The 15048-nt window shown below is 40.1% G+C and overlaps 1 protein-coding gene across 3 annotated transcripts in view; it reads right to left on the minus strand.

The window, feature by feature from the left end:
- LOC124905977 (uncharacterized) overlaps positions 1-15048 on the minus strand; it is an 82330-nt gene that overhangs the window by 1091 nt on the left and 66191 nt on the right. The window lies entirely within an intron of this gene.

Consider the following 15048-nt stretch of genomic DNA (forward strand, 5'->3'; position numbering starts at 1 on the left):
TCAAGAATTTTATGCATTAAAAAGAGAATAATTTTGTTTATGATTTTAATTGCATTTTTACACTTTGTCATCAGTCTTTTGACTTTCATATACTAATTTTTATTAATTAATGCATTTATTTGCAATAAGAGTTTTCTTTAATAACAAATCTATCAACTTTTTTTATAGCTTCTAGATTTTGGGTCATATCAGAAAAGTCACCTCTTCTTGGTCATAATGGAATTGTCTCATGTTTTCTTATGAAAATTCAATGGTTTATTTATTATTTTTTTCATTTTATAGTTGTTCCATTTATTTAGAGGGAGCTAAAGATGTTGAATAACCTTAGACTTTGCTATTTCTTTTTTAATTTGATAGAAAAATTATACATATTTATGGTGTAAAACAATGTCTTGAAATATGTATACACTGTGGAATGCCTCTATTAAGCTAATTAACATATGCATTACCTACCACTTTTGTGTGATGAAAACACTTAAAAATCTACTGTCTAGCAATTTTCAAATATACAAAACATTGTTATTAACTATAGTTATTATGTTGTACAATGGATCTCTTGAACTTATTCCTCTTGTCTAGCCGAACATTTGTATCATTTGACCAACATCTCCCCAGTACTCAGCCTCTGGTAACCACCATTCTACTCTCTGTTTTCACATAAGAGCTCCACATATGTGAGATCACATGGCATTATCTTTCTGTGCCTGGCTTATTTCACTTAAAATAATATCCTCCATGTTTATACATGTTGTTGCAAATGGCAAGATTTCTTTCTTTTATAAGGCTGAATAAATAGTATTCCATTGTGCATATATATATATACACACACACATACACACACACACCACATTTTTTTTTCACATTTTAACATTTCTAAAATCAGGATGAATCTTGTGATTGAAAGTGTCTGATAATTGGAGTCAGCTAGGCAGTAGAGTCTTATGAAATAGCCTTTGTTTGCATATGTAAAGGCCTTGTAATTACTCCTGATAGCATTACTGGACTACTACAAGTCCCCAAGGTGTCAGAGGGCATGCCACATACAAAACATTAAAACTAGGATTATGAGACCCAGTTGTTTTCCAAAAACCTTCCATTGACACCGTCTGGTAAGATCAAGAAAAACCCAGCATTAAAACTGCAAAATTCCTGTCAGCAACTTGGAATAAAATCCTAAATTGAATTATTAGATAATAAATCCAATAGAATTGCACTCTTAAAAATGTTTATTACCAACAGACTTGATAGACTCTCATTGTGAAGAAGTTTAAAGAATATCTTATCAATTTATTTCACTTACATTTTCCTTTTTATGTATGAATATGTGTGATTTGGGATTTTTAAAAAAACTATGTCTGAATGCTTCTAATAGCATTATTTCTGTAAATATGAAATAATTATTCTAAGTATTAACAAAGCATTCTATTATAGAATAAGGGGGTGTTTTCTTTTCTTAGTGATAAAATTATGTGCTTATAATCAATGTCATCTTAGACTCAGTTAAATATAGTACTAAGTCCAAAAAAAGACAATAAAGAGAAATATAGAATACCAAAGAAACATTGAAAAAGTCAGAAAAATATAATAAAGCAGTATCCAAAAATATTAGTAACCTAAAATAATTGTAAATGAAAAAATATTATAAATGTATCAAGTGATCCATTTAAAAACTGAAGAGTGCCAGACTGGCAATGTATTATTTACAAGAGACAGAAATGAGATGCAGTGATGTAAGAAGATTAAAAATAAATATGAAAAATATTCAGGAAAATAATATCCAAATAGGAGAACAGAGCATCCCCAGTCACATCCAATATCAGCACATGCTGGTGCTCGAGCATGCCATCTGGGAGTCTTGGGATCAGGCTGCCCTGCCTGCCCCCACCAGTGCCCATGTTTGCCATCTGGGGACTTGAGGATAGGTCTGCCCCACCCAATGTCACCACTGCCAGTGCTCCACCATGCCATCCAGGAGTATGGGGGTCAATCCTCCTCTCTCACTACAGCCAGCACCTGCATACACCATTGGAGAGCTTAATGACAGCCCTGCCTTGTCTGCCACTGTCAATACTCATGCATGTTACCAGGGGCGTGGGGATTGATCTGTCCTTCCCACCACTACAACAAGGCCTGAGGATAGGTCCACCCTACCGGCCACTACTGCCTACATGCACCTCCCTGGGGTGCATGGGCATGGGTCCTACCAACACCACTGACACCAAAACCCACCTGTATGGCCTTACCACCCACCCTTATCACCACCAACACCCATGCATGCTGCTCAGGGACCTAAGGGTTGACCCTAGTGACAGTGCTACTGTCACTGCTGATGTCATGCATGCCACTCAGGAGCCTGACGGCCAACCTGACCACCTGATCCACATCTACCACTGCTGGCATCCAAGCAAGCAACCTGGAAGCCCAAGGATCAATTGCCCTAAACCCTGTACAACTGGAGCCTGTATATGCTGCTCAGGTGCCCTAGGATCAGCAAACTCAGCTTGCTGTTGTCACCAATGGTGCCTGCGGACTGGCCTGCATGGCATCCTTGTCCCCAGCCTTACCATAGCTTCTGCTAAGAACCACGGAGTAAGCCGCTGAGGTACTCTCAGTAACCACTGACACTGATTATAGCCAAAGAAATCATACAGAGACCACTTTACCACGCCCACTGGGAATCAAAGCCAAAGTGCCCTACACAACAAACACTATACATACATCTATAGGAAAAAAAAATTTCCCTCTGAAAGCCAATTCATAACATTGGAAGATGTGACTTTTACACCAGACATGCAGATGTCCACATAAATACACAAGAAATATGGAAAAGCAATGAAACATGATGCCTCAGAAGAAACAACAATTCTCCATACCATATTCTGACAAAAAAGAAAATCTATGAAATGCCTCAAAAATAATTTAAAATAATGATATTAAAGACATTCAGGAAGATACAAGGGAACACAGATAAACAGTACAAAGAAATCAGGAAAACAATTCATGGTCTGAATTAGAAATTCAAGAGAGATAGATATCATTTTTTTTAAATCCCGGAACTACAGAATTCAATGAATGAAATAAAAAGATACCGTTAAGAGAGCTTCAACAATACACTAGATCAATCAGAAGAAAGAATTTCTGAACTTGAAGACAGGCCTTTTGAAATAACCCAGTAAGACACACGCACAAAAAGATAGAAGAATATAAAAATGAAGAAAGTGACATTTGAGACACCACAAAATGACCAAATATTCAACTTTTGGGGGGTTCTGGAAGGAGAAGAGATGGGCAAAGGTACAGAAAACCAATTTAACAAAATACTAACTGAAAACTTCCCAATTCTGGCAAGATATATAGACATTCAGATACAAAAAGCTCAAAGATTACCAAATAGATTCAACCCAAAATGTCTTTCCCAAGGTATATTATAGTCAAACTGTCAAAAGTTATACAAAGTAAGAATTCTAAAAACAACAAGAGGAAAGCATCAAGTCACATATAAGGCAATCCTCATCAGATTAACAGTAGATTTCTCAGCAGAAACCTTACAGGCCAGGAAAGAATGAGATGACATATTCAAAGTGCTGACAGAAAAAAAATAAGCTGTCAGCCAAGAATACTATTCCCAGGAAAGCTATCATTCAAAAATGAAGGAAAAATGAAGTATTTCCCAGACAAGCAAAAACTAAAGGAATTCATCAAGAAATGCTTGAGAGAGTCCTACATTTTGAAATGAATGGACAATGTCTACCATCATGAAAACCCACAGAAATATAAAACTCACTGGTAGAACTGATTCACAAAGGAAAAATATAAATGAATCATACATTACCACTACAAAAGGTTACCAGATTGTAAAGGTAAATAATAAAAGAGGGAGAAAAGAACAAATGAAATATAAAATAGTCAAAAAACAATTACCAAAATACTTGAGTAAGTTCTTACCTATCATTAACAACTTTGAATGTAAATGGTTTAATTTGCCAAATTAAAAGATAAAGACTGGCTAAAGGGATTTTTAAAAAGAAAAACAAGACAAAACTATATGCTGCCTACAAGAAACTTACTTTACATGTAAAGTCACATATAGACTGAAAGTGAAGGAATGAAAAAAAATCCACACAAACAAAAACTGAAGGCACACAGAAGTACCTATACTTACTTATATCAGACAAAATAGATTTTAGGTTAAAAATCATTTAAAGGAGACAAATCATGATATGATTCCTATAATGATACAGAAATAAATTCAGCAACAGGATATAACTACTGTAAATATATATGCACCAAGCTATATAAAGCAAATATTAGAGCTAAAGAGATAGGTAGGCCCCAGCACAGTAATAGCTGGGGACTATAATACCCCATTTTCAGCACTGGACAGATTATCTAGACATAAAGTCAACAAAGAAACATTGAACTTAATGTGCACTATAGAACAAATGGACTTAATAGATATTTTCAGAACATTTCATCAAACAGCTACAGAATACACATTTTTCTCATCAGCATATGAAACATTCTCCAGGATAGACCATATATTATATATTATGCCACAAAACAAGTCTCAACAAATTCTTAAAATTTGAAATTATATCAAGTATCTTCTCATATCAGTCTTTTAGACTGATTTCTAAAACTAGAAATCAATAACAAAAGGAATTTGGGAAACTTTAAAAATACATGAAAATTAAAAACAAGCTCCTGAATGACCACTGGAGCAATAAAGAAATTAAGGAAGAAATTAATAAACTTCTTGAAACAAATTAAAATGGAAACACAGCCTACCAAAACCTATGGGATACAGCAAAAGGAGCACTAAGAAGGAAAGAGGAAAGTTTATAGAAATAAATGCCTATATCAAAAAAACTGGGAAGATTTTAAACAACCTAATGATGCACTTCAAGAACTAGAAAAGCAAGAATAAGCCAAACCCAAAATTAGTAAAAGAAAAGAAGTAATAAAGAGCAGAATGGAACTAAACAAAATAAAGAAAAATATAAAGGATCAACAAAACAAAAAGTTGGTTTTTTGAAAATATAAATAAAATTGATAGATTACCAGCTAGACAAATAAAAAGAGAAACCCAAATAAACAAAATCAGAAATGAAAAAGGAAACATTACAACTGATAGCACAAAATACAAAAGGATCATTAGAGAATATTATGAATAAGTTATACACTAATTAACTGGAAAACCTACAGGAAAATGGATAAATTTCTAGACACATACAACCTCTCAAGAGTGAACCAGAAAGAAATAGAAAGCCTGAACAGACCAACAATAAGTAACAAAATTGAATCTGTAATAAAAAGTCTCCCATCAAAGATAATCCCAGGACTGGATGGATTTACTGCATTATGCAGACTTCTCAACAGCTACACACAACATATCAAGAGAGACTGGATATTCACACATGGGCTTTTCATTGCCTCTGCCTGGAGGTGCCATGTCTACACTTCTGATTACATTTTATTGACCAGAGCCAGTTGTAGGGCCTCATATGGAAGGGAAGAGGGATGTATTGGAGGTCAATGGAAAATTGAGTGAGCACTGCAGTCCTCTTTAAAATCCAATGGAAATATCACAGAGGCAATGAAATCAAAACTTTATCCAAGTATCGTGTAACCAATTTTGTTCGTCATCTCAATTCAGTGGGTGTGTAAATGCCAGAAAGCTATATTTTCTTCCTATTACTAATCTCAGCTGTGTGAGCTTTGTCTTCTTGTCCTTAACCCCATCTGAGCAGATCCCATAGCTTACCATCATTCTCATTTATAATTAGGCCAGTCTCATTCAGTGCAGTGTAAGACTACAGTCTGATATTCAACAAACATTTTGTTCCTTCTCTCCCTTCAATGCAGGTCAGGCTTGTGCTTGAGAGGCTTGGAATGGCAAATGTTGGGTTGGTTTCCCTTTTCGCCCTTCCTCCCACTCCTGCACACTAAAAAGAAGTCGTGGTCTGACTCTGGGATAACTCCTCCCTGGCTTTCTATGGCCTGGGTTGGGAGGGAGAGTAGGAAAGAGTTAATTGCTCATTGTTGTCGTCTCATCTCTCCTGGTTCTGGCTGTTTCTGTTGCTAACCCTAACTAGTTGACACCATCCGTGTTGCTGGTAGTGAGGCAGGATACCGCTACAATTCCCACAAAGACAAAGACCCTGATTCCCAGGCCTGTCTCCCTTGCCCTTCCCAGTTCTGTGCTTATGAAGTTGGGGGCTGGAGGAGGTAAGGATGTTGGTGATGGAAGTAGACAGTGGTTTTGCCAGCTCTTAGTAAGCTCTGCCCAGGGAAGAAATAATGGGTGGGCAGGGGTCTGACTCCATCTGCTGACATCTGTCTCTAGAACATGGGGTCAGTAACGCCTGCTGGTTTCTGTTGTGGGCTCTAGTGTCAGTTCCAGAGTCATAGATAAAATCCTATCACATACGTACCCAAGAGTCAGAGGGGTAGAGACATCTTTCTCCAAGGAGCTAAATCTAGAGACACATTTTCTACCCAGTGCAGAATGGGCATATAATCTGTTCAGCTTCACAGGGCCTTGTGCTCCAGAGGGAGCCTCCTGCTTGGGGTTTAGTGTGCTGTGGCTACCATTTTAAAATTCTTAATAGTTTTATCTTTGGATTTCTGTTTTGTAAATGATATCGGTCAAATTGCGTTCCTTCCAAAATTCATACGTTGAAGTCTTCACTCCCACTATCTCAGAATGTGAACTTCTTTGGAAATGGAGTCATTGCAGATACAATTAGTTAAACTTAAATGAGGTCACATTGGAATGGGGTGGGGCCTAATCCCCTATGACTGGTATTCTTATAAAAAAGGGGAAATTTGGACACAGACACATGAACATGATGAGAAGACAAAGGGAGAATGCCATCTACATGCCAAAGAATGTCTGAGACCACCAGAAGCTAGGAGGAAAGCCCGGAACAGATTCTCTCTCACAGCCCTCCAAAGGAACCAACCCTGTTGACATCTTGATCTCAGGCTCTGGCCTCCAGAACTGCAAAACAATTTCTGTTGTTTAAGCCACCAAGTTCATGGTGCTCCTTTAAGGCAGCCCCAGGAAACTAACACTAAATGAAGTACAATGAGACAATGGTCATGCACCTGGGGCTTGGAGCCCCAACTTACAAGTTTTCCCTCCCTGCTCTACCAGATGGCTTCTTGGCTATCACCCTCCTCCCCATGTAGAGAAATGGGAAGGCTCAGAGGATGCACACATATCACTTGCTGAGTCACAGTGCCCATGCAGAGGCCTGTGAGGATCTCCACTTGCCCTACAAGAGGCCTAATGCCCCAGGGAGAGGAGAATTAAATAGCAAATTAGAAGCATCATGACAGGTTTAAAGAAAGACGGTGAAAGCAGGATAGAAGCTTTTTTCTGCTTCTCGAACAATGGGCCTGCATTTTCATTTTGCACAGGGCAACACAAATTATGTAGCCCTCTTTGTGGGAGAAAATAATGAAGTTTCAATAAACTTAGAGAAGCAAAAGCAAAAAAAAAAAAAAAAATGGGGAAAAGCAGCACTGACAGCTTCAAAGTCCCTGGTTCCAGCTGTTCCTGAAGCTCAGGTACAGGAGCTGTGGCTTCCCTAAGACATGCCAGTATCCTTATGATACATTCCCTCATGTGTTTAAGAAATTTTGAGTTAGTTGTTCCATAACCTACAGCCATAAAAATTGTAGCTAATAGTAGCATAGCTGCATTTATATAAATTTGAATTCTCCAAATTTGAAAGTCCATCAAATTTTTTAAAGTAATAAAATTTAACTTTCAACACAAATTTTGAAGTAATGGGAATCTTCCAAGCAAATTCCTCTGGGATCACATCATTTCTAAGCTTGAATGAATTATGAACTATGTTTTACATTAATACAACAGATTAAAATCATTTTATCTATTAAGTAGAAAAACCCACCATCTTTTAAAATATCTGGCAAATCATGCTATTGTTTTGGCTCTTAAAACTTGTGTGGGTTATTTAACATTTCCTATTATTATAACTTAAAATCTCTTTAATATCTTATACCAACATTATCCCAGCATTCATTAAGTGATAATAATGCTAGCAGCAATAACATTTTGGAACAGAAACAAGATGCAATAACACCCTGTGAAGAAAACCAGACAACTACCACTGTACACTGAAATTTCAATGTAGCAGCCAGCGCTGTGAGAATGACTAGAGAGAATGCTACAAAAATAAAAGTGGCATTAAAGCAATTGTACCTTTAAATTTGCAAAAAAAAAAAAAAAAGGAGTTGTATCAATCCAAGGATAATGGAAATTCTGCTGCTGACATGGCTGCCCACTAATGGCATGTGATATGCCCTGAGTTCCAAGAGTTGAAATTTACACACTTCAAGAATGCATTCTCTCCGCTTCATACACTTTAATAATTTTGTTTATCAAAGAGTAATTTATAGGAAAATTAGTCTTGAATTATGTAAGATCTGAATTAAGCAAGGCCTTCGGGAATGTGCCCTCACACACAATGTGACCACTTGGAACCGCCTCCTTCTTGGCTTGGGAGCCCAAGCATAAGTCATGCCAGGAGAGTGTGTCTGGGACAGGCTCTCCTAGCTTCTTGGCTTGTCATCAAAGCCTGTTGAAGGGCAGCTCCCCATCACCAGCCTCGCAAAGGCAAAGCTGAGAAAACATCCTCCCAGCAGCTGAGTGGTGGCCAACATGCATATCCCCAGATCACACCAGAACAGTCTCTGAGGAGTGACAGGCTTGTGCTGGACAGCACAACCAGCTCCAGCATCCTCATATCCCACTGAGGATGCCCCAAATCAAAGTCTGAGGCCAGGCCTGCCTGGCAAGATCCTCCTGTTTTCTCCCCTCGTCACTTGAAAGCCACAATCTCATCACATGAAAAGCCTCTTGGGAGAAATACATTTTCCCCGTTCAATGCACAGATGTCACACAGATTTGGTGCATCATTCGTAAATGATTTCCAAGTTTACTTGTCTGCTCCAAGGAGATTACTGGCATCTCCAACTGCATTTTAGTGTAATCATTTCCATGTTGCATAGGACATTTTGGCAGAAACAGCAGTCGCCTCTGCTGTACAATCAGATGGCTGAGAATCTGCATCCCTGTTGAACATAGCCTCAAAATTAGGGCCGCTACCCTTCAAGCCTTTGTACTTTACTATGACTTCATTCAACAAAAGTTTACTGATTCCCCCAGCTGCCAAGAGTGTCTATAGAGGGAACAGAATCTACAGTGAAACAGGGTCCTTGTCCTCAACAAGCTGATGCTCTACCACTGTGGTTTTCATACATCTGTGGCTGTGGAATCTATCTTCAAATGACAGCATAATCATACGCAGAGTGCTATATAAAATAGCAAAATGTACAACTGTACTGTTAAAATTAGGGAGACAGAGTTTCAGTCATCTCTTCCCTGACACCCCCCAAGCTCCCCCCATGGACGCAGGACCTCCAAAAGACCCCTTTATGAAAAAAAAATGTGCAAATCCAGAGCTCATAAATGTTAAATAACTCCTAAAAGATACAAAACCATGATGAGCTTGACAACAATAAAATGCCCCAAAAGAGATGGAGCAAAAACCAATTAACTAATAAAATGAATGCCTGAGAAACTTAAGCAAGATTGTTGAAAGCTGATTTGTTCAGCTTTGGGAACATTCAGGTAGCCTGATAAAGCTCTCCTTCTCCTGGTCCAGCCACCAGAAGGACCAAAGGAATTCTTCCTCTTTTTGGTCAAGGCTCTCAAGAAAAATTTCACAGTAAAGACGTCTCTCCTTTCTCAGAAAAGGGAAAGGGAGTAGGCAGCACTTTTTAATTCTATCCAGCATCCCTTCCCTCCTCCTGAGCTCTTCCTTGTTCTTCTTCTCCACTCCTTAAGTAAGCTCATCCTGCCACATGATTTTAATACCATCTACAGGCTGATGACAGCATTCCCAGCCCTTCTGTCTCTCCAGAATTCCAGTTGCATCTATCTAAGTACCTACTAATCTAACAGAAATCTAGACTCAGCAAATCTAACAAAGAGCTCTGGATTTGCTTTCCCTTTACCCACTTCAATCTTCCCCTTCTTGTTAAAGGACAGCACTATCCACCTAGTTGTTCAAATCATAAGCCCAGTTGTCATCATTGATGTCCTTCCCTATGTCTAATCCATTGGCCAATCCTGCCAGCCTTGCTTCCAGTCAGGTCCTGAACCCATTTCCAGTTGCAACTTGCCTGCTAGCCCAGCTGCCATCATCTTTCACTGGGACACTCACTCCTCTCCTGCATCCACTCTTGCCTCTCTACCATCTATTCCCCTCATGGCGGCCAGAATGACTTTGGAAAAACATCAGCATCCTAAAAGTACCAGCGAGTTCTCCCTGGTCATGCTCCCCCTCCAGCCTCGCTCCATCCCCCTCTCCATTACACCAAGTGGACTGCAGTCACACAGTCTTCCTCTCTCTTTCTCAAACACACAGAGCTCATTCCTGCTCCAGGGCCACTATACTAATTGCTCCCTCTGCTTGGCACACTCTTACCACAAATCTATGCATGGCTGACTCCTTCTTGGCATTTAGGTCTCCGTTTCAAGGTGGCCTACTGAGAGATGCTATCTCTGGCCACTCTGCACTCTCCCGACATCATCTTATTTTATGTTAAACATAGCACTTAACTACATTCAAAATTTTCTGTCTTTTGTTTACGCACTATGTGTCTCCTCTTGTTATCAGTGAGACATAAGTTCTATGAGGGCAGAGAGTTCTTCATGTTCTTTGGCACTGATATTAGCCCAATGCTCAGAACAGTGCCTGGTCCATAAGAGACAATTAATAAACATTCATTGAGTAAATGGATGAGCGAATAGTAAAATGTCTGCTGCTCCTTTGGGGAACTGTTGGTCCCCAAGTCCTTGTAATTATGGTGGAACTGTCAATCACAGTAACTATCAACCCTGTCCATGGCAATGGGGTCAAGATCTTAGCATGTGAATCAAGCAGGGTAGTGACAGTCCCCCTGGAGAGCTATGTACATGGACAGGGACGAAAAGAAATTTCTTTCCTCTGGGCTGAGATATTAGTTTTAATCTAAGGCCATGTCCTTCTCCCCAGTCTGCACAGACAACAATAACACCAACAATGGCAAACCTCTCATGGTGTTTACTATGGTCCAGGGACTACTCTAAAGGCTTACGCATATTCACTAATGTAAGCCTCACAACAACCCATGGGAGGATTCCCACTATTATGGTGGTTTTTTAGATGATAAGACTAAGGCCCAGGGAGGCTAGTTAACTTGTTCATGGTCACTCAGCAGTCTGGCTGCAGAGCTATGCACTGTGTTCTACCACCTCCCATCAGCAGAGAAGAAAGACCAACGCAGGAGGAGAGCAGAGCCATGAAACACAAGACAGGGCCCTGGAGCCTGACTTGATACCCAGATCCAGTTGTCTGTGGCTTATTTCACCTCTGGATTTCCTAGTCACAGGAGTGGTCCTGTGGTCCAGGAACTACTCTAAAATGAAGCACCAGAGAACTGGCCGTACATCGTGTGTTTGCATTTACATGTTGCAAAGAGAAATTAAGCCTTTTGCTTTCAAATTGAAAAATCACTTGGATTGTCAATCAATCAAATGAGAATTAAATATCTGTTGTATATCTTGCGTGTTCTAAGTTCTGTAAGTTCTAAGTTCTGTAAAGCACGCAGAGATACTTAAGACATAATGTCAAGCACACTTCCATGATACAACGTTGCTTGAATCTCCTCCTCAGCCAATCTCCTTCTGAAAGGACAAAACCAGTGTGAAGAGATTGAGTCTATGCTAGAGATGGGAGCCACCACCTACCTGAAGCTTGAGGCATTTACACAGGGAGCTGTGCAGGCGAGAGGAGAGCAAGGGCACTGGGGAAGTGCCTGCTGTTGACGCCCACCCATCCCCCAGGTGCAGAGATCTATGATGGAGCAGGTAGGATGCCACACTGCCTCTGCTCCCTCCCAGCCCCTTGGCTCCCTAATGTCCCTTGGATCAGAACAAGGACTAGAGATGCAAAGAGGCCTCTGAGCAGCTGGTGGGGAGGTGGACACTCCTCCAGCTATGGCCACTCAGGCTCCCTGCACAGCGTGCTATATGTAGAGCGGGGGCTGGACATAGGACACACTAACCAGCTGGAAAGGGATTTGCTAAGGCAACCTCTGATTCAAAATGCCCTCTGATTCTCAGCAGACATCCAGGCAGTAGACTGCTAAGGCTGCTCCTAAGCAGAAGTGAAATTCCCACACTCGCAGCCACTTCCCTGTACCTTCCGTTCAGTCCTCTCTCACACTAACTATTGGGACTCTTAAGCAGACAAGGAAAAACTTCACTAAAGTCTTTCTGTCTGGGACTGAATGGGACATGGCTTCTATCAGAGAACCATTTCCAGACATATGAAAACATTCAGCATTTCAAAAGGGAAGAGCCTCCGGTCCAGGTGGCAGTCACTCCAAAATCCACGTGTTTCCTCCGCTCAAAGTACAGAGCAGTGGCAGAGGAAATGCAAAAAGGAGAACGAAAAGGCAGAGTCCCTGTGAAAACCAAGATCCATTTTTGGTAGACTAAAAGTGGGACAAAAACACTCAGTAACAAGCTGATAGAGCTATGTGCCTGTGGCTATGGGTGGGTGTGGAAGCAAACAGAGGTCTCGGGGCAGGGGAGTGTAGGCAGGGTCTCTGCTTAGAGTCAGGCAGGGGCAAGATTCCACACCACCCTCTCACCAAAAAAAAACAAAACAAAACAAAACAAAAACCTGTTGCTCTCAGTTACCTGAGTCTACCATTTCACAGGAGCCATGAGCTAGGAACACCACAGAAGAAAGGCAGAAACTCATGATGAGGAACAGAACCAAGGTGCCCACTGGCCTGGTGACTGGGTCTGGAATGTTCCTGAGGCCACTGTGGAGCATAAACCCTGAACTTCCATTAAACCTGGCTCTAGGCTGGGGGAAACTGCTGGATACAAATGGGTGAGCACAGAAGAAGAGAGAAAATAATACACAAAAAAATTGAACATAACATAAAGTGAGACTGCAAAGCCCAATTCTAAAACATAGGAAGAAATCTGAAGCTCAGAAGATAGCCAATTCAGAGCATGAATTCACACACCAGATGAAATTAATGTTATAGAACACTCTTTTAGGAGACTTTAATTGGGTTTACGGGAGGCAGAGGCTGCAGTGAGCCGAGATCATCCCATTGCACTCCAGCCTGGGCAACAAGAGCGAAACTCTGTACCAAAAAAAAAAAAAAAAAAAAAAAAAAAAGTAATAATAATAATAATAATTGGGTTTAGAATATTCAAAGACTTAAGTGAATAAATATCATTTTTAAACATGCAAGAAATTATGAAAAAAAAAGCCAAATTAAAACAAGAATAAGGAAAAGGAGCTTGAACTGAGCTGTCAATGATTAAGGTGAGTTTGCCAGAAGAAGGCAAAGCAGCACATTGTATGGAAAAGTTGTAACATGTGCAAAGGCACGATGACTTCAGAAAGCACATGCATATTCAGTAGCTCAGTCTGCCTGAGTGTTGAGTGCAGGGAGAAGGGACCAGAGATAAACCTGAATGGGTAGATGGCAACACTTCATTAGAGACCCTAGATCTGCTCAGTGACTTCCCACCATGCCATGCTTTCCTCAAATGGAGTCTACTTTGATCTTCTGTGAGCTCCCTGGATGTCCCATCCTCCAGAACATTTTGTAACTATCTATACCTAAACATAATGAGACAAACAGAAGCCAACACCTTGGTCGCCAGCATTCCTGGGGTGGGTTGGCACCATCACCTTCTGGCCAAACCAAGCTGTCCAGTCGTGACCCCTCTAGCCAGCCCCTCCCTTCACACTGGGAAACTCCCTATGTCAGATATCAAGGGGGTCATCTGCAGTTGTTCCCAAGCCGCAGAGGAAATTGCTTTCTGGAGGCCACGTTCTTGTCTTCTTGAGCTAAGTCCAATTTCACAACTGCTGATTCAAATGAATCTAGATTTTTCCCCCTTAGCCTGCACTTTTAGTATCTGTAGCAACAGACAAGGAATAAAATTAACTATATGAATGTCTATGAATATATAAATATATGTGTGAGTCTGTGTATCTGGACAGCATGTATATAAATCCTGCTCCTTTTTGGATGCATTTAACATTTGTGAAATTCCTAATTCTAATGTTAAAAAGATTTCTATCATTTATTTTGAAAACATAAAATAATAGGCAATAGAACAAAATTTTCATAGTGCTGGTTACAAGACCCGGCACATTAAAGATGCTTAAAGTTAATTTACTGATTTGGGCCACCACCATTTTGGAATACCAAAGTAATTGATGCTAGTGGGTTACCTCAACACCCGCCTGAAACAAAAGACTGTAACTGGGTTGTTACTGTCATCTTTAGACCCAGTTAAAGTTCCACAGCCTTGCTGAAGGCTTCCTCATCACTCAGCCTGCAGGGATTTTGTGAATCTGACTAAGTAGCCAGCTTGGGCGGCCCAGCTGGTCCTTCCCAGAGTGCCTGGCAGAGTCAGCCCTCAGAGAGAATAAGCATCTCTTCCTATTAGGCTGTAGAAACCTTGAGGAAGCTGTTATCTTTTTTTTTTTTTTTTAATAAATGCCTCATATGGTATCATATGAGGCAAATTCATCAGTCTAAAGTGTGGCTTTTTGGAGGTTTCTGGAGATAAGGGAAGATAAGAAATTTGAGATTTGTGGTCATTAGTTTAAAGAGAGTTCAATCAGCCCAGTTATGACATGATGTTTTTTTTTTTTCCTCTGGTAGTATAGAGATGCTCAGGTACAACTCAGTGCAAGGGAATGGCTGAGTTTAACCAGGTTGGGAGTTTAGGGACAAGGGTAATATGAGGGAAAGGAAATAAGGGAGTAGTAACTTTTCAAAGTAGTGAATATGGCACTGATGAAGGAGCCACAGCTTGATCAGGAAAAGATTGAAGCCACAAGAAAGGTGAGAGAGAAAGTGTGAGGAAGACACTTTAAAAAAAAAAAAAAAGGAAATACCTTTCATTTGGCTCTTGTGTGTTTT

The sequence above is a fragment of the Homo sapiens genome, chromosome 2, assembly GCF_000001405.40.
Source record: "Homo sapiens chromosome 2, GRCh38.p14 Primary Assembly".
Classification (NCBI taxonomy): Eukaryota; Metazoa; Chordata; class Mammalia; order Primates; family Hominidae; genus Homo; species Homo sapiens.